General features: G+C 39.3%; 1 protein-coding gene across 51 annotated transcripts in view; it reads left to right on the forward strand.

The window, feature by feature from the left end:
* Nucleotides 1–20,986, forward strand: part of MGA (MAX dimerization protein MGA) — a 148,717-nt gene that overhangs the window by 115,822 nt on the left and 11,909 nt on the right. For 8 of the 51 annotated variants that reach the window (XM_047432276.1, XM_047432281.1, XM_047432299.1 and 5 more), the window contains 6 exons: nt 2,861–3,158; nt 5,501–6,127; nt 11,592–11,882; nt 12,066–13,570; nt 17,392–17,522; nt 20,743–20,794. In XM_047432276.1, coding sequence (XP_047288232.1) covers nt 2,861–3,158; nt 5,501–6,127; nt 11,592–11,882; nt 12,066–13,570; nt 17,392–17,522; nt 20,743–20,794 — 2,904 coding nt within the window. Of the gene's footprint in view, nt 1–2,860; nt 3,159–5,500; nt 6,128–11,591; nt 11,883–12,065; nt 13,574–17,391; nt 17,523–20,742; nt 20,795–20,986 lie in introns of those variants that run through there. The other 43 variants (XM_047432288.1, XM_047432295.1, XM_047432306.1 and 40 more) reach the window with 14 other exon arrangements.

The raw sequence follows: 20,986 nt of genomic DNA on the forward strand, positions 1-20,986 counted from the left end.
ATTAGCAGATAGGTTTCAAAACAAAACCATGGTTAGAACGGTAGGTGTAAGGGGAAGATGAAATTGACTTAAAGATAGGCAATATATGTTTAGAAACTTGGGGAAAATTTTAAAAATTTTTATTTATTATTTATTTATTGCAATCTTGGCTCACAGCAACCTCTGCCTCCTGGGTTCAAGCAATTCTTTGTGCCTCAGCCTCCCAAGTAGCTGGGATTACAGGCATGTGACACCACACCTGGCTAATTTTGTGTTTGTGTGTGTTTTTTTTTGTTTTTGTTTTTTTTTTAGTAGAGACGGGGTTTCGCCATGTTGTCCAGGCTGGTCTCGAACTTCTGAGCTCAGGTGATCCACCCACCTTGGCCTCCCAAAGTGCTAGGATTACAGGGGTGAGCCACCATGCATGGCTGAAAATTTTAATTTAGTAAGGTGTTATTTAAATACAAGAGTAAAAATTCAGCCATATTTACTTAATTATATTTTTTCTTTATTTGATTCGTAGGGGTTTTGTTAGTGTAACTGTTGTAGGACAAATACCTTTATCCTTGATACTTAGTAATTCACGCAGGTTGTATTAGTAAAATTATACTGGCATATAGAAAATTTGAAAAGAGACGTTCTGAATTAATGTCATAGTCAGAAAAGGTTTTTCTAGCTGAGCGCAGTGGCTTACGCCTGTAATCCCAGCACTTTGGGAGGCCGAGGTGGTGGATCACCTAAGGCAAGGAGTTTGAGACTAGCCTGGCCGACATGGCAAAACCCCATTTCTACTAAAAATAAAAAAGTTAGCCCGGCGTGGTGGCGCGCGCCTGTAATCCCAGCTTCTTGAGAGGCTGAGGCAGGAGAATCATTTGAACCTGGGAGGTGGAGGTTGCAGTGAGCTGAGATTGTGCCACTGTATTCCAGCTTGGGCAACAGAGGGAGATTGTCTCAAAAAAAAAAAAGTGCACTTTTATATTAGAGTAGCAAATGTGTGGAAGTGTCTGATATTATTGCAAAGTTAGCTTGACTTTCATTAGATTGGCTGCTTCTAAGTCACTAAGGACTTCTCCATTAATAATATGATTGATATAGGCTGGGCATGGTGGCTCACACCTGTAATACCAGCACTTTGGGAGGTGAAGGCGGGTAGATCATGAGGTCAGGAGTTCAAGACCAGCCTGACCAACATGGTGAAACCCCATCTCTACTAAAAATACAAAAATTAGCCGGGCATGGTGGCGTGTGCCTGTAATCCCAGCTAGGAGGCTGAGGCAGGAGAATCGCCTGAACCTGGGAGGCAGAGGTTGCAGTGAGCCGAGATCACGCCACTGCATTCCAGCCTGGGCGACAGAGTGAGACTCCATCTCAAAAGAGAAAATAATATTAATATGATTGATCTACTTAATTAAAAAACTTATTATTGCAGTTTACTGTTGTGCATGCTATGTAAATGCTTCTGTTGATATTTCTTATACTCTTGATGAGGAGAACAGTATTTTCTCTACCTTATATATTGATTGACACTTTGAAAACAGAGGTTTGCCTGATACAATTTCTAGTGAGACTAGACTCCCTAAAATACAAGCATGGAAATTTTTTGTTGTCTTCTGCCCAGGACTCACAAAGCCACCATAGAATGTGTCTGCATAAGCAGTCAGGCAACTGTAAACTTTGTAAACTTTGGGGAAGCTGCAGAGTAGGCTTCAGCGCAGTCCCAAGGGATCCGGGAGGGGGTATCTGACCTATTTCTGTATAGCCTGAAAAGTTACAGTAAAGTCTACTTTCAGGGGGAATGATCACATTCTTTGTACCAAACTCAAGGCAGAGATATTCTTGATCTCTGTGGGAATAATCACAATTTAACCAAAGTAGCAAAGAGTAATTTTGTTTTGTGTCTCTGAAGATGGAGTTGCTTGCTGTAGCTGGTCTCCTCACCAGTTCCCTGTTAGAGAGTAGATTCTACCTCACTCCATCTCCCCCAACCCCCGATTTTGAAATGGTGAAAAGGAAATATAGAAAAGGTTATCTTCTCTAGAGTTGCCTGGCAATATGACCTAGAGAACATGGGTAGAGACTTGGGAAGTTTTTGTTTTCTTTCTTTAAAAAAAAAAGAAAAGAAATCAACCCCCACAAAAAACAACTGTGCTGGTACCCATGATGGGCAGTCTGATAAACTCAGGCAGCAGAGGGGATCTTTACTTCATTTGTTGGTTCACTTTCTTCTGACTATTTAGTTAATTATGTCTAGAATAAGAATGAGTTCGTACCAACATTCAGTTTGAACCCATGTTTTATCCAAGAGATGAAAATAGTATTTTCAAAGCTAAGCTTTTTGAAAATGAAAAACTGTGAGGTAATTGTGGCTTAGGTTATTGCAACAATGATTGTCTTATAACTTAAAGTAGATTTCACTTATATTTTTCAAATATGAAGGATGCTTGAAAGGACCCTTGTGTGAGAGCTTCATTATGTCTCTCTGGTCTTATCAGAGAGATTCTGTGGGACACTCATTTTTGCTGATGAGGTTAATAGCTTAACCAGAATGCCTTATTTACAAGGAAAACAATTGGATAATTCTAGTTGTTTAGATTTGATGATAACTTTCACATAACTAGGATGCAGAAATGATGAGTTTCCGATTCTCTATTTTCAAACTACAATATGAAGGAGATGAGATTAGTTCAGAATATCAGTTGACAGCATTTTTCTACCTTCTGATTACTCAGATTATTCTAAATGGAAAAAGTCTACTTCTTTTTCCCTTTTAAATCTGAAAAATAGACTTATGAAAACTTGTAAAAATGAAGCCCCTGTCAAGGGAGAGGAGTTAGCAAGAGAATTTTATCTTTACAGAATTTCTCTTTGCCACTTGTTTCAGGTTAATGGTAAGAGTTACCCGCAGGCTAAGTTGCTATTGGGACAGATGGGGGCATTGCATCCAGCCAATAGGCTAGCTGCTTATATCACAGGCAGGTTGCGACCCTCAGTCCTGGACCTCTCAACCCTCAGTACTGTCATCTCCAAGGTAGCATCCAATGCCAAGGTGGCTGCATCCAGGAAACCACGTACCCTGTTGCCTTCAACATCCAATTCCAAAATGGCATCCTCCTCTGGCACTGCAACAAATCGCCCTGGGAAGAATCTGAAGGCGTTTGTCCCAGCAAAACGGCCAATTGGTAAGTTGGGGTGTATGTATGGTTTGGAAAGGCCTATGACTTGGTGGTGGGACAGTGGGTACAGGTATGGAGGTTGTAAAAATTAGAGAAATATGTACTTTGGCATTATTCTTATTCTTGTTGTCTGTCTTGCCTGGACTTTTTTGATTGTTTGGGGTTAACGTCTGATAACCTGCAATATTAGATGAATTGAGTTGTTTTATAGTTAATTTCTTGGTTTTATATATATTTTTTATTTTTTAATAACACTGACTTGAAGGCAAGTTTTATAGTTATTTTTAAGGTTTTCAGACTGGTTGTTATTAATGTAGAAAAGACTTAAGGATTTTAATTTTGTTTCTAAAAAGGGAAGACATTTAAAAATAGTTTACTATTATACTAAATTATTTACTAAAATATTTTACTAAATTAAAAATAGTTTACTATTTTCCTGTGAGGACTGGTGTTTCTGGCCTCTTGTTGAACTCTTGCTGGTGCTATGTAAATGCTTCTGTTGATACTTCTTAAACTTATGAAACCAAGGAGCTAGCAAAAGCTAGTGGTGTAAGTAGTATAGGCTTAAAGTGGAAAGCTCCTATAAATACAATTTTGAAAGTGTTGATTTATTCCATTCATCTCTGTTCTATGAATGAAAATCTCTCTTTTCCTTAACATTTAAATGCTGAAGTCTGTAATAAATTACCTTCTTGAAACATTTGTGTTTTAGCATTGAGAGTATCTATAGTTGGTTTATTGAATTCCTCTTTTTGTTGTTTCAAATCTGTTAGGAATGTTAGGTAAGAGTGTCAGTTGAAATCTCTGGCTGAATGGTTAGAGTTGTGTGAAGATAGAAGATATTTATTGTTTGCCTTAAAACCTATTTTGGCCGGGCGCGGTGGCTCACTCCTGTAATTCCAGCACTTTGGGAGGCCGAGGCGGGTGGATCACGAGGTCAAGAGATAGAGACCATCCTGGCCAACATGGTGAAACCCCATCTCTACTAAAAATACAAAAATTAGCCGGGAGTGGTGGCATGCGCCTGTAGTCCCAGCTACTGGGGAGGCTGAGGCAGGAGAATCACTTGAACCCGGGAGGCAGAGGTTGCAGTAATCCGAAATCGTGCCACTGCACTCCAGCCTGGTGACAGAGTGAGACTCCATCTCCAAAAAAAAAAAAAAAAAAAAAAGAATCTATTTTACCTTTTATTAAGGCAGCTTCAGTTGTGATTAAGGGGAGTAAAAAAAGCAATCCTATCCTGATCTGTTTGGAGAAATGTCTTTATATATTTTAGGAATATGTAATACGTAAGCATCTCATAATAGCACAGCTGTAAAGAGGTGAGAGTGCTCAGACAGGAGGAAATGGTAGAAACAAGTTTTTACATTAGAAATTGGGGGAAACAAACCCTCTCATTTTCTTTTATCTGTATTAGGTGATGAAGTTTTTGCTACTGTATTGTCTTTTTAGTATCCTGACAGTTTGAATATATTGCACAGTCAAAAGAATTTTAGTAGGAACACTCTATTTAATTTTTTAATTTTTCTTTCAAGACAGAGTCTTGCTCTGTCTCCCAGGCTGGAGTGCAGTGGCACTATCTCATTTCACTGCAGCATCCACCTCCTGGGTTCAAACCATTCTCCTGCCTCAGCCTCCTGAGTAGCTGGGATTACAGGCACGTGCCACCATGCCCTGGTAATTTTTGTATTTTTAGTAGAGACGGGGTTTCACCGTGTTGGCCAGGCTGGTCTTGAACTCCTGACCTCGTGATCTGCCCACCTCGGCCTCCCAAAGTGCTGGGATTACAGGTGTGAGTCACTGTGTCTGGCCTGGAACACTCAATTTTAATCCCTTTCTTGTTAGAACTGAGGTTTGTTTTTGGTCAAGGCAAGCGTTTGATTTCTGAGAGTAGAAATAAGCTCAGATGCTGGGTGTGGTGGCTCACACCTGTAATCCTAGCACTTTGGGAGGCCCGAGGCAGGCAGATCACCTGATGTCGGGAGTTCAAGACCAGCCTGACCAACATGGAGAAACCTTGTCTCTACTAAAAATACAAAAATTAGCTGGGTTTGGTGGTATGTGCCTGTAATCCCAGCTACTCGGGAAGGCTGAGGCAGGAGAATTGCTTGAACCTGGGAGACAGAGGTTGCAGTGAGCCGAGATCGCGCCATTGCACTCTAGCCTGGGCAACAAGAAAGAAACTCCATCTTAAAAAAGAAAAAAAAGAAATTGGCACAAATAATACAGGTAGGTAGTACCTGTAAGAAATTGACCCAGTAGTGCACAGTAAATGTCGGTAAGCACAGTCACTAAGAGGATAAAATATGAGAACTGAAGATTTTTGACCTGCAAATTTCTGTTTGCAGCGGCTCGACCCTCTCCTGGTGGTGTGTTCACACAGTTTGTGATGAGTAAAGTTGGAGCCTTGCAGCAGAAGATACCTGGAGTTAGCACACCCCAAACCCTGGCAGGGACACAGAAGTTCAGTATCAGACCTTCTCCAGTAATGGTCGTCACACCTGTGGTTTCTTCTGAGCCAGTTCAGGTGTGCAGCCCTGTGACTGCTGCTGTCACTACTACCACCCCTCAAGTGTTTTTAGAAAATACTACTGCTGTGACACCTATGACTGCTATTTCTGACGTGGAAACTAAAGAAACTACTTATTCTTCTGGTGCCACCACTACAGGGGTTGTTGAGGTCTCTGAAACTAATACCAGCACCTCTGTAACATCTACCCAGTCTACAGCCACTGTGAACCTTACCAAAACCACTGGGATAACTACCCCTGTGGCTTCAGTTGCTTTTCCTAAGTCTTTGGTAGCATCTCCTTCAACCATAACTCTTCCTGTTGCTTCCACTGCTTCCACCTCCTTAGTCGTGGTGACTGCAGCTGCATCTTCCTCCATGGTGACCACACCAACTTCATCTCTGGGCTCTGTTCCTATTATACTCTCAGGAATTAATGGGAGTCCACCAGTGAGCCAGAGACCAGGTAAGGCCTAGATGTTACTAGCTGCTTTATTTTACTGTACACCTATTTATATAACTTTGTGGTTGTGTTAGGATTATAGATATATCAGGATAACAGTATAGGTATTTCTGTTGTAACATGATACATGTATTCCTGAAAACCTCTGCATGCTGCAAAACTGAACACTAAAATTAATAGAGCTCATGGTTAATACGGGATTGCGATAAATCACTGAAAATATATGCAGTTTTATAAGCAGAACATTAATAACAATAACTGATAACCTTGAGAGATAACTTGAACAATCTTGACTGATAGTTTAGTGGAGCTGGAGATTGCGACTCAAAATACTAAAAAACATTACAATGGAAGTGGTGGCTGAAGGATACTGAAGTAATGCAGGTAAGACTGGAGCTCTGAGCCACTAACATGGGCATGGGAGGAAACATGACCTGTGTGCTGAGAGCTAGGGGTGCACATCTTTGAGGAGGGAGCCTCAAATGCAGATGTTCCTTTTGTGGGGTGTGGGGGGTGCTGCTTTTTAATTAGAGACAGATGAGCAGACTTCATCTCCTTTTGTGTAGTAAAAACCACTAATGAATCAGCACCTATTTAATTGCTGGACATGAACTGATTGAAATAGAAACAAGGAGGCATATTTGTTTAGGGCTCTAATATTTTTATAAACTTTTTAGTTAAAATATTTCTTTTATTGGCTTAGGTTGAGTGAATTTGAAATAGGAATATCCTACACTTTGTGTAGTTTTTATATCCAGATGCAACTAGCTAAAGTAAGTGGTTCTTTTAATCTACTCATAGAGGAACTAATATGGAAAAGAGCAAGAGACTTTGCAGGATTTGAGGGGAAATAATTAACTAATAGCAATTCTGTCTTGGTTATTGATGTTTTCTCTTAAATATTTTTGCATTTAGTGATGTGGTCCAAATTCCTCTCTGTCTTTTATGGAAGAACAGATTGGGAGTTAGTTTGTAAGTTAAAGTTCTGTTGAAGGGAAAAGTGAATCTATATATATATATGTGTGTGTGTGTATATATATATATATTTTTTTGAGATGGAGTCTTGCTCTGTTGCCCAGGCTGGAGTACAATGGCAGAATCTCAGCTCACTGCAACCTCTGCCTCCTGGGTTCACATGATTCTCCTGCCTCAGCCTCCCGAGTAGCTGGGACTACAGGTTTATGCCACCACGTCCAGCTAATTTTTTGTATTTTCAGTAGAGACGAGGTTTCTCCATTTTGGTCAGGCTGATCTCAGTCTCCGTGATCTTCCCACCTTGGCCTCCCAAAGTGCTGGGATTACAGGCGTGAGCCACCACGTCCGGCTTGTGAATCACAATATTAAATGTGTCTGTCTTGTGCTTCTTCCCACAAATAAGCCCATAAATCATGATTAATCTGATACATACTTTTGGGAGTGAAGTCATTAGTGAAGCTACTTTTATTTCCTATTGAATCTCAAGGTGCATATCTGTTATATTTTAACAGATCATGTCTTCTAAACCATATGGATTCCAGCCTGTTTCTGTACTCTTAATTCTTTCATGAAACAATATAGTAGTTTATTCTTCTGTAGTTCTGTTGTTTCTCAGACTTCAGTTATTCAGGATATGCATTCACATATTTTGCTGAGTCCCATCTGTACTGTCACCTACCTAATATTTTTATTTTAATCAACTGCTTTTTTATATGTAAATGTGTGTGTGTTTGTTTATTTATTTATTTATTGAGACGGAGTCTCGCTCTGTTGCCCAGGCTGGAGTGCAGTGGCACCATCTCAGCTCACTGCAACCTCCGCCTCCCAGGTTCAAGTGGTTCTCCTGCCTCAGCCTCCCGAGTAGCTGGGATTGCAGGTGCCCGCCACCACGCAGTGGTGTATATTATATTTTTAGTAGAGACGGGGTTTCATCATGTTGACCAGGCTTGTGTTAAACTCTTGACCTCATGATCGGCCTGCCTTGGCCTCCCAAAGTGCTTAGGATTATTACAGGCGTGAGCCACAGCGCCTGGCTGTAAATGTGTTTTTAAAAGAGACAGCATTGACCTTCCCTCCACTATTGTCCTATGACCCTGCCAAATCCCCCTATGCGAGAAACACCCAAGAATGATCAATAAAAAAAAAAAAAAAAAAAAAAAAAAGAGACAGCATTAATTGGAAACCAGCATTACTCGGCATAATAGAGGTTAACCCTATAAAGAAATACACTGGAAACTATAATAATTAAAAAATCATTAAATTCCTGTTAGCTACTATATATTCTGAGCACATGGCTTTGCTGTCTTTTTTTTTAAAGAAGAAAGCTAGAAAATACTAGAGTAACATTAAAGATATATCATCAAAGACTGTACATAAAATATCTTCTATAGTACCATTTGAGGAAAAACATGTAGATATATTTTTAATAAAAATGTATTTTTATTTAAAAAAAATATATATCTATATATAGAGAGAGACAGACAGGGTCTTGCCCTGTCATCCTGGTTGGAGTGTAGTGGCATGATCATGGCTCCCTGCAGCCTCTACATCTCAGGCTCAAGTGATCCTCCCATTTCAGTCTCCCGAGTAGCTGGGATCATAGGCTTGTGCCACCACACCTGGTTAATTTTTTTGATTTTCAGTAGAGGCGAGGTCTCGCTGTGTTGTCCAGGCTGGTCTTGAACTCCTGGGCTCAAGCAGTCCTTGCATCTTGGCCCCACAAAGTGCTGGGATTACAGGCATGAGCCACTGCATCCTGCCAGGAAACACTAACATTTAACAAGTTTTCTAATCTTTTAAAATAAATAGACCTGACTCAGGTAACTGCTACTTAAGGAAGTGTGTGTAATTTTTTTCTCTATTTATAAAGAGGATCCCCTGTTGGCACTTTGATATCTGTGCTTTTAAAATTTGATTTTTCTCCTTTTCCTCTTTACCTTCCTTTTCCTTGCACACAGTTAAGTAAACCATCACATATTTAATGTGTATATTAAAGATTGCTTTCATTCTCTGAATGTTTTTGAATCACTCTCTAAAAGTTAATTTGAAGAAAAAAGTTGAAAAATTAAGAATGCATTAACATATTTGTTTCTTAATTCACGTAAGATTAATATGGCTGGGCACAGTGGCTGACGCCTGTAATCCCAGCACTTTGGGAGGCTGAGGAGGATGGATCACCTGAGGTCAGGAGTTTAAGACCAGCCTGGCCAACATGGTGAAACCCTGTCTCTACTAAAAATACAAAAAAAATTAGCCGGATGTGGTGGTTGCATGCCTGTAATCCTAGGTACTCTGGAGGCTGAGGCAGGAGAATCGCTTGAACCCGGGAGGCGGAGGTTTCAGTGAGCCGAGATCTTGCCATTGCACTCCAGCCTGGGCAACAGAGCGAGACTTCGTCTCAAAAAAAAAAAAAAAAAAAAAAAGGTAGATGAATATTTTTTGTTTAAATTGCACATGATTATTTTCATGAACAGTTTGGTTTTGTGTTTTATTTAATTTTTAAGAGTAGTCTTGGATTTTCTATATAATTTTTCATCTAAATGTTATGACCATGACTTTCTTTTTGAAATTTGATATTTTTTTGTGTGGGCAGAGTGCCTGTTTGATAGAGAATCACGTTAAGCTAAAGTCTTTGTTTTGTTTCATTTGTTTGATTTTTTTTTCTCTTCAGTAGCAGACTTTTTAAGTTTTATTTATTAATGTTAAATAAGCCTACCAATTTTTATTTATTAATGTTAAATAAGCTCACCAATTTGAATAGTAATGTTAGACCAGTTTCATTTATGCTTACTATTACCATGATTCCTACCTCTTTATCTCTTTGATCTAAAAAAAAAAATCTAGATTACTCATACTGTTTTTTCCTATGTCTTTAGTATTTCGAAATATGTCTTCCAATCAGGAAAGGGCATCTTTAAAGTACTATTAATGGTTTGAAATCTCTATTAATTCACATCTTCTGCATTAAATTTCTGCTTTTTCTTTTTGTTTTAAAAACATCTTTTGCCTCTTCTAAGCCAGGTTTATTTCCCTGCTTCTTTGATGTCTCTTAATTTCATTCCATTTTGGGGGGCTTAAGTAATTTTTTCCTTCTGAAAAATAATTCCCACAAACCTTTAAGCTTTGCATATTTGTTAGTGAATTTTAAAAACCAAAAGCCCTTTATAAACCAAGGATTTTTAGTTCTTTATCTTCCTCAGGTGGTATAAGCTTAGAAATTGACCCATAACTCTAGTAAGTGTTATGAGCTTTAATTTTAAAGTTAAATTGTGCAGAATCTGGATTTTATTTAAAAACATAAGAGGCCAGGCACATTGGCTCATACCTATAATCCCAACATTTTAGGAGGCCAAGGCAGGAGGATTGCTTGAGCCCCAGGGGTTCCAGACCAGCCTGGGCAACATAGCAAACTCCATCTCCACAAAAAAAAAAAAAAGCGTGCACCTGTGGTCCCAGCTACTTGGGAGGCTGAGCCTGGGAGTTCGAGGTGGCAGTGAGCTGTGATCCCACCACTGCACTCTAGCCTGGGTGACAGAGTGCGATGCTGTCTCAAAAGAATGAAGTTGAAGCATAATTTTATCATGAATGATCCCTTTAACAGGAATCCAGATTTAGAGAGATAACCATGTTTTTCTTTAGGCAAAAGTATTATCTCTTTAAATGTGCCTCTTGACAGTTGATACTCTATTTTTTACCATTCTAAATGTAAAGCTCCATAATGTCTGGCTGTTCTCAGCCATAAATAGTGTATTATGAAACTACAGAATTTCAGCAACTTTATAATCCAAATTAGACGTTATTTGAAGCAAGGTCAGATTCTGTGCCTTAATGACTGGGCATGGTGGCTCATGGCTGCAGTCCCAGCACTTTGGAAGGCCGAGATGGCAGGATCACTTGAGGCCAGGAGTTTGAGACTAGCTTGAGCAACAAAGCAAGACCCTGTCTCTGCAAAGAATAACATAATTAGCCAGGTGTAGTGACACATCCCTGTAGTCCCAGTTACTTGGAAGGCTGAGGCAGGAGGATCTCTTGAACCAAGGAGTTTGAGACTGCAGTGAGCTATGATTGAGCTACTGCACTGAAGGTGACAAGTGCAACCCTGCCTCTTTAAAAAAAAAAAAATATAGACTGGGCGCGGTGGCTCACGCCTGTAATCTCAGCACTTTGGGAGGCCGAGAACGGCAGATCACTTGAGGTCAGGGGTTTGAGACCAGCCTCACCAACATGGTGAAACCCTGTCTCTACCCAAAAATACAGAAATAAGCCAGGTGTGCTGGTGCACACCTGTAGTCGCAGCTACTCGGTATGCTGAAGTGGAAGAATCACTTGAACTAGGGAGGTGCGGAGGTTGTAGTCAGTCGAGGTTGTGTCATTGCACTCCAGCCTGAGCAACAAAGCAAGACTGTGTCTTAAAAAATATTATGAATACTTTTTTTTCCTACGTGTGTTAAAGGGGAATTTGGGTACCATGTTTCCATTTCCTGTTTTTCAGAAAATGCTGCTCAAATTCCAGTGGCTACTCCACAGGTCTCTCCTAACACAGTGAAACGTGCTGGACCTCGATTGTTGTTGATTCCAGTGCAGCAGGGTTCTCCTACTCTTAGACCTGTCTCAAACACACAACTTCAGGGACATCGGATGGTCTTGCAGCCTGTTAGGAGTCCAAGTGGAATGAACTTATTCAGGCACCCTAATGGGCAGATTGTCCAGCTTCTACCTTTGCATCAGCTTCGAGGCTCTAATACCCAGCCCAACTTACAGCCTGTCATGTTTCGGAACCCAGGTATAAAGTTCTTTTTTATGAACTTTTCTTTTGTTGAATCACTTGGCCATATGGTATGTTAATACACCAAGATTGTTTTTCTTCATCTCTTAAGAGTTACTTTTCCAAAAAGAAAAGCAAACATTGGAAGTCTTGATATGGGCAGTCATGATTTAAAAATTTCTCTCTTATTTTTTAAACCAGGGTCTGTGATGGGAATCCGGTTACCTGCTCCTTCCAAACCCTCTGAGACTCCGCCATCTTCCACTTCGTCCTCTGCTTTCTCTGTCATGAATCCTGTAATTCAAGCTGTTGGGTCTTCTTCAGCAGTGAATGTTATCACTCAGGCACCATCATTGCTTTCCTCTGGAGCTAGTTTTGTGTCTCAGGCTGGTACATTGACCCTGAGGATTTCTCCTCCTGAACCACAAAGCTTTGCAAGTAAAACAGGCTCTGAAACCAAAATAACTTATAGCTCAGGAGGACAGCCTGTTGGTACAGCCAGTCTTATTCCTCTCCAGTCTGGTAGTTTTGCCTTGTTACAGCTCCCAGGACAAAAGCCTGTTCCTAGCTCCATTCTTCAGCATGTTGCTTCCCTTCAGATGAAGAGAGAATCTCAGAATCCAGACCAGAAAGATGAAACAAACTCAATAAAAAGAGAGCAAGAAACGAAGAAGGTTCTACAGTCAGAAGGAGAGGCTGTAGACCCTGAGGCTAATGTAATAAAACAAAACTCAGGAGCTGCTACCTCAGAAGAAACTCTGAATGATTCCTTGGAAGATAGGGGTGATCATTTGGATGAAGAATGCCTTCCAGAAGAAGGTTGTGCAACTGTCAAACCATCTGAGCATTCCTGTATCACTGGGTCACATACAGATCAAGATTATAAAGATGTTAATGAAGAATATGGGGCTAGGAATCGTAAGAGTTCCAAAGAAAAAGTGGCTGTTCTGGAAGTTAGGACCATTTCTGAAAAAGCCAGTAATAAGACAGTCCAAAATTTAAGTAAAGTACAGCATCAAAAACTTGGTGATGTGAAGGTGGAACAGCAGAAAGGATTTGACAATCCAGAAGAAAACTCAAGTGAATTTCCAGTCACCTTTAAGGAAGAAAGTAAATTTGAATTGTCAGGAAGCAAAGTTATGGAGCAGCAATCTAATCTACAGCCAGAGGCCAAAGAGAAGGAATGTGGAGACTCTCTGGAGAAAGACAGGGAAAGATGGAGAAAACATCTGAAGGGCCCCTTAACCAGGAAATGTGTTGGAGCTTCACAGGAATGTAAGAAAGAGGCAGACGAGCAGTTAATTAAAGAAACAAAGACATGTCAGGAAAATTCAGATGTGTTTCAGCAAGAACAAGGCATCTCTGACTTACTTGGAAAAAGTGGAATTACTGAAGATGCCAGAGTTTTGAAAACTGAATGTGATTCTTGGAGTAGGATTTCTAATCCTTCAGCCTTCTCCATTGTTCCTAGGAGAGCTGCAAAAAGCAGCAGAGGGAATGGACATTTTCAGGGTCACTTACTGCTACCTGGAGAACAGATACAACCAAAGCAAGAGAAGAAGGGTGGGAGAAGCAGTGCTGACTTCACTGTTTTGGATTTGGAAGAAGATGATGAAGATGATAATGAGAAAACTGATGATTCTATTGATGAAATTGTGGATGTTGTTTCTGACTACCAGAGTGAGGAGGTTGATGATGTAGAAAAGGTGGTGAGCCCATTTTTGTTGTGACTGAAACCTAAAGGATTTAAATGATTTATTAAAGACAGAAGCTTTTTCAGAAGAGCACTAAGGCATAATACATTTAATTGGATGCCTAGGTTTAAGATTATGACTTAAATGGCTTAGTAGTTCTTTAGGCTGTGTCAATCAAGCATCATTTATTGAGCTTTTATTCTTTGAGACTTGTCTGGTTTTATGGGAAGGCTGGCTTAAATATTTGGGGGATAGGTGCTTGAGAGTCCCTACCGAGTTAGATTTTTAAAATCCCGAAACCACTACTCCCATTTGACCTCAGTCAATTTCTATGACGTTTTCTATGTGAGGTGGTTGTAGCTTCTCTGGTAGATGTTAATCAGAAACTGGGAATGGGTGACCTTAGAACTAGAGGAGAACTTATTCACTTGCATATAGAGAGATGTTTTTGTTTTTGGAGAAAAACTGGAAAATACCATCATATTCTAGTACCATTTTGCCTTGAGTTGCTTTTATATCCAAAAATTAAATATTTAGTCTCTGGAATTTATATTCTAGACTTTGGTCTTCGTCCTTTGTAATATGACCTTTATGGCCTATTTTTATTATTTTCCTGAAGTTTTTTTTATAGGATTCCTATTTAGGGTTGTTGTATTTACTTAAATAAGTAACTGTCAGGTATTGATACAGTGCAGGAGTTGTACAAACGTTTTCTGTAAAAGGCCAGATAGTAAATAGTTTTAGACTTTGCAGAGAGCTAGATGGCTCTCTGTTGCGACTAATTGACTGCTGTTGTAGTATAAAAGCAGCTGTATTCCATTAAAACTTTAGTAAAAAAGTCCAGGTGCGGTGGCTCACACCCATAATCCCAGCACTTTGGGAGGCCGAGGTGGGTGGATCACCTGACGTCAGGAGTTTGAGACTAGTCTGGCCAACATGACAAAACCCCGTGTCTACTAAAAATACAAAAAATTAGCCAGGTGTGGTGATGGGTGCCTGTAATCCCAGTACTCAGAACGCTGAGGCAGGAGAATCGCTTGAACCCGGGAGGCTGAGGTTGCAGTGAGCCCAGATCGCGCCATTGCACTCCAGCCTGGGCGACAAGAACAAAACTCTGTCTCGGGTTAAAAAAAAAAAAGAAGTTGTTAGTGGGCTGTGGTTTGCTGACCCCTGACATAAGGTCTGATGTAAAACATGGGGAGATCATAACCAGCTGCCTGTGGAGTGCCCTAAAATCTAAACTGTGTCCTTCTTTTCAGGAGCAGATGACAGCCGTCTGCACTGATTGTCATACAACTGCTTGTTTTACAATCTCACTTCCTTGAGATTCATTCTGCCTCTGTGTTATCTGGTCCTTTTCTGTTATTGCTTAACTGCTTTATGCACATAAAATAAGACAAAAAGATTACTGTTTTAAAAATCTAAAATGTTGAAATATTTTATTTTAGCGATGGAGTCTTACTCTGTCGCCCAGGCTGGAGTGCAGTGGTGCGAACTCAGCTCACTGCAACCTCCACCTCTGGGGCTCAAGCAATTCTCCTGCTTCAGCCTCCTGAGTAGCTGAGATTACAGGAGCCTGCCACCGCCCCAGCTAATTTTTGTATTTACGTAGAGATGGGGTTTCACCATCTTGGCCAGGCTGGTCTTAATGTTCTTATATTGGTTATTTGAGTACCTCCATTGTCTCATTTATAAAGGAGGATCTTGCTCTAAAATTGGATGATTCTGTATTCATTTGACTTATACCTTCTCTCCATAGCCTAATCTTTTTCAAGAATGGATGTAAATTCATTGACTTTAGGAGTTATATTGCTGATTTTTTTGTGTTTTTTGCAGTCTCACACTGTAAGTCAGCCCAAGTTAACATGAGACCAAAAAACAGTTCAACTTTAAAACCAGTGAAAACTATTACTATTAGTGGAACTTACATAATAGAACCTTTAAAGTTTTTTTTTTTTTTTTTTTTTTTTTAACAGAGTCTCGCTTTGTCGCCCAGGCTGGAGTGCAGTGGTGCCATCTCGGCTCACTGCATCCTCTGCCTTCTCGGTTCAAGCGATTCTTCTGCCTCAGCCTCCCGAGTAGCTTGGGATTACAGGTGGGCACCACCATGCCCAGCTAATTTTTGTATTTTTTTAGTAAAGACAGGGTTTCACCATATTGGCCAGGCTGGTCTTGAACTCCTGACCTCAGGTGATCCACCCACGTTGGCCTCCCAAAAGTGCTGGGATTACAGGCATGAGCAACTGCCTCCGGCCTGAAGTATCTTAATCATACAAGGAGGCATTGCTTGAATGTACTAATAGGGAATTTGACAAGCAAACAAGTTATACTGACTTTTTTTTTAAAGGTCATATTAAGTGATCTCTAAAATCTAAAGTCTACACTGTTTTTATTTGCACATCTCACACCTACGTTACCTTTATGATTAGCATTGGAATACTGTGAGGGAAGTTGTAAATAGCTTCTTTAATTTAAATCTTCCTTGTGGAAGTTATTGGAATATTATTTAGAAATACTGCAGTTATGCCAGGCGCTGTAGCTCTCGCCTGTAATTCCAACACTTTGGGAGGCTGAGGCAGGCGGATCACCTGAGGTCAGGAGTTTGAGACCAGCCTGGCCAACATGGTGAAACCCCATCTCTACTAACAATACACAAATTAGCCAGGTGTGGTGGCACAGTCCTAGAGTCCCAACTACTCGGGAGGCTGAAGCAGGAGAATCGTTTGAATCCCGGGAGGTGGGCTCATTTACTATGTTTCTGGCATAGTAAACACTTTTTTTTTTTTTTTGAGGGGGCACAGAAATGTTGCAAGCAAATACTATTTGTAAAGGTGGACTTAAAAAGATCTGCTTATCCTATATATCCACATAACTCTAGTGTTACATAAAATATTTAGCAAGTTTCTGTGACAGGTGCTCAGTAAACACTTTGACTCCTTTTTTGGTATAATAAGGAAATACAGCAATCGTGGGCTTTTTTGAAACCTGAAATTCCTTACAAGCTCTCATTTTGTGGTTTTGAGAGAGTTGCAGGACTAGGCTGTATCCTATTTCTATACCTGCCTGTGTATGCTAATGTGTGTTGATTTGTGGGCATCTGATAGGATGTTGGTCATGAAGCCCCCTTAAAGTGGCACTTGAATTTTTCTCCTTTCTATATTTCTTTCACCAAATTTTATTTTACTGTTATTTAATCTTAAGATTTATGAAACCTTAATATATCTGTGCCTGAATTTTGTCCACTAGAAATAACACTGAAGCATCAGTGCAGTCCTTTGAGGATGCTGTTAAGTTTAATTATGTCTGTTTATTTATTTTTTATTTAATTTGTTTTGAGACAGTCTTACTCTTGTCTCCCAGGCTGGTGTGCAGTGGTGCAGTCTTGGGTCACTGCAGCCTCGAACTCCTGGCCTCAAGCAATCCTCCCACCTCAGGTTTCCGAGTAGCTGTAATTATAGGCGAGCACCACCATGTCTGGCTAATTTTTGTATTTTTTGTAGAGACAGGGTTTTGCCATGTTGCCCAGGCTGGTTTTGCACTCCTGAGCTCAAAACGATCCACCTGCCTGGGCCTCCCAAAGTGCTGGATTATAGGTGTGAGCCACCACGGCTCACATATATATATGACTTATAGTTCTTGATTGTTAATTCTAATGATATGTTATCTTTCTGTCTTAATTCCTTATTATGACTAACAATCTTAGGATTATCAGTACTCATGATATAACATGAATGTCTGGCATTAGTTGGTTTTATAAGGGGAACAAACATTTGAAAAGTTTAGGTGTGCTTGCCACTCAATACATTATTTACTTTTATAATGATGTATTTCAGAATAACTGTGTAGAATACATTGAGGATGATGAGGAGCACGTGGACATTGAGACTGTAGAAGAGCTCTCAGAGGAAATTAATGTTGCTCACCTGAAGACCACAGCGGCCCACACACAGTCATTCAAACAGCCGTAAGTCTTATTTCTCTTTGGATTGTTGTTTTTGTAGTTTTGTAACCAGAAACAAAATGAGATGTTCTGTTCAGGAGCTCTGGGTAACTCATCTGGTTCCTTCTTCCTCTAGCTTTTTTTCTGATTAGTATAGATGAGGAGAGGAACTAGAATTTGGGTAATTAATTTTCTTTGGTCGTTGGTAGGAGGCAGTGTGTAAATGTGAATAACATGCTTTTGGAGCCCGATAGACTGGTATTATAAAATATTAGTTTTGCTAGTTTGTAGGTATTTAACCTTGGGCAAATCTTTAATCTCTCTGAACCTCAGATTCTTTACCTATGAAATGAGGAAAATGCCCCCATTTGAAGTGTTAAATGAGGTAGTATGTGCAACTAGCATAATAACTGATATAAGTGGACTACTCAACAAAGGTTAGTTTCTTTTATCATTTAAGAATAGGCATTACATTCTAAATTTGGTTACTTTACTAGTTGAACAGGTGAGATACAGGTAGGAAAATTTTTCTTCCTGTTTCACTGGTGAGATGAAAATATGAAAGGAATGATGACTTGCTCAGGAAAATTTATTTCATTTTCTGTTTTAGTAAGCCTTATATTGATTATGGATTGGGCTGTGAGAAAGAGTAGAGAAGGAAGATATTTTGTGCCAGACATTGTACTTTTCCTGTCATCTCATTAACTACGATGATATGAAAGTAGCTATGAGTTGAGAAAGAATAATTCTTCGTTCCTACTGATGCTGAGAAAGTTGAAGGAGTAGAAAGTAGGACTAATAGTTTTCTTCAGTCCGGAGCTGTTTGCAGGCTACTTCAGTTACCTACTGGCTAAACTTGAAAGAATTTAAATCCCTTAAAAACTTAATTAGACTTAATGAGTTTAGTCTGGGATAATGAGTTCTGTATACTAAAACTGAGTTTGTAAACAATGGCAACAAACAAAAACTCTAAAAAATATTTGCAATAGTAACAGGAAAAATGCCGTGTGAGAACATTCTCTGACAAGCTGTGTAAGACTTTTCTTACAAAATTGTATTGAAAGACGAAGAGGAATTCAACAAATGGAGAGAGATAACATGTTAATGGATTGCAATAGTAAAGGGCCAAGAATAACCAACACACAGCACAAACACTGTAAGGGAACAGATTAAAATAAAAAATTAAAGATTTAGGCTGGGCGTGGTGGCTCACGCCTGTAATTCCAGCACTTTGGGAGGCCGAGGTGGGTGGATCACCTGAATTCAGGAGTTCAAGACCAGGCGGGCCAACATGGCGAAACCCTGTCTCTACTAAAAATATGCAAATTAGCCGGGCTTGTTGGCACACGCCTGTAGTCCCAGCTACTCGGGAGGCTAAGGCAGGAGGATTGCTTGAACCTGGGAGGTGGAGGTTGCAGTGAGCTGAGACTGTGCCACTGTACTCCAGCCTGAGACACAGTGAGACTCCATCTCAAAAAAAAAAATTAAAGATTTAATTAGATTTGTTTAAATTAATTGTTTAAATTTAATTAAAAATACAAGTTAAAAGAATTGAAAAATTCTGTCAGAACACCGTGAAAACAGTGAAAAGCCAAACTCAGATATGAAGAAAGTGTTTGCCATACGTATTAACTAACAAAGGATTAGTGTCAAGGGTATAAAAAAATTGTTACAAGTCAGTAAGAAAAAGATGACCCAGTAGAAAAGTAATGGATATTAGAGACAGTTGACAGAAGAAGAAGAAACCTAAAAGCCCAGCAAACACATGTACATTTGTTCAGCCTCACAAGTAATTAAGGAAATACAGATAAAACCACAGTGACTTTACCAATTCACACCCATAAGACTTCAAAAGTGGAGATTTCTGGTGGTACAGTTATCTAGGTGTGGAGCAATGGGAACTCGCATACTGCAAGTGGGAGTGTACATTGTTATTACCAGTTTAACAGTTACTGAAGTTGAAGGTGTGCATATCTTTCCTCTGCTCCTATGCCCCAGAAAAATTTTCACAAGGGGTCGTGTATGGGACTGTCCATTGCAGCATTGTTTGCTATTATGAAGATTTAGAAACAACCTAAATAACTACTAACATTCTGAAAAAAAAATTCGGGGAAATTCACATTGTGGAATACTATATAACTATATAACAATTAAAACAATTGGAATTGGAACTCTGCGTATCAACATATCTCAGGTGTAATTTATTTGTACTTTTATTTTCGATATTTTTTGTAGAGACGGAGTCTTGCTATGTTGGCCAGGCTAATTTTGAACTCCTGGCCTCAACCAGTCCTCGTGCCTTGGCCTCCTAAAGTTCTGGGATTACAGGCATTAGCTACTGTGCCTGGCCTTCAGGTGGAATATTGAATGAAACAAATGAGTTGCAGAAAGATATAGTATAGTATATAATATTTAAAGTGGTACTTTTTTTGTTTAGATATATATATATATATTTCTAGTAAGACTTACAAAAGTGTGCATGGTAAACTCTGTCTTAGAATGGTTACTTTTGAGAAGGAAGGAAGGGAATGTGATTGAGTAGACTGCACATAGAACCTTCTGTATTTTTGAGATGTATTATTTCTCAAGCTAGATGGTTCATATGTGGGTGTTCATTATACGCTTGGTCCTCCTTCACGGATGGGAAGACCAAGTTTATAATGGAAAAGCATGTATCCACAAATATAGAAAGCATGTATTTGTGGATTCACCCAACTGTGGATTGGAAATACTTGGAAGAAGAAAAATTGCATCTGTATTGAACATGTATAGACTTTATTTTCATGTCATTATTCCCTAAACAATACAGTATAACAACTGTTTACTTAGTTTTTACATTGTACTAGGTGTTATAAGTAATGTAGGGATGATTTATAGTATACAGGAGGAGGTGCCTATGTTATATGCAAATACTATGCCATTTTATATCAGGGACTTGAGTATTCAAAGATACTGCTGGAAGTTTTGGAACGAGTCTTCCCTGGATACTGAAGGACAACTTTAAATTTGTTTATATGGTTTTGTATATTAAATATTTCATGATTGTACAAAGTAATTTGAAGTTTTAGTGACTATTTGTACACTTTTAGAGAAAATATATAATGTCAAGTAAATAATGTGGCCATATATCACACCTTGGGAAAAAGAAACTGGTTGTAATTTGGAATGGTTTGGTTGTAGCTGTGAAATAGGTCTTAGATTATTAAATTTCAGTAAGACACTGAAAAATCCTGTCTTTATCCAGGTCCTGTACTCACATCTCTGCAGATGAAAAAGCAGCTGAAAGGAGTCGAAAGGTATTTAGGATATATTTAGTGATAATTACTCATTGAATAAAATTGTTAACATTTATCTTAGGGTTGAAACAACATTAGCTATATTAGCCACGATTTTTTCTCAGGGCTATTTTTGCCAGTGAGTTAATATAATCAGTTTTTTCTCCTTAATCAAATTATACTGCTAATGTCCTTTTTTTCCCTTTTAATTCT

This window comes from Homo sapiens, chromosome 15 (assembly GCF_000001405.40).
Source record: "Homo sapiens chromosome 15, GRCh38.p14 Primary Assembly".
Taxonomy (NCBI): Eukaryota; Metazoa; Chordata; class Mammalia; order Primates; family Hominidae; genus Homo; species Homo sapiens.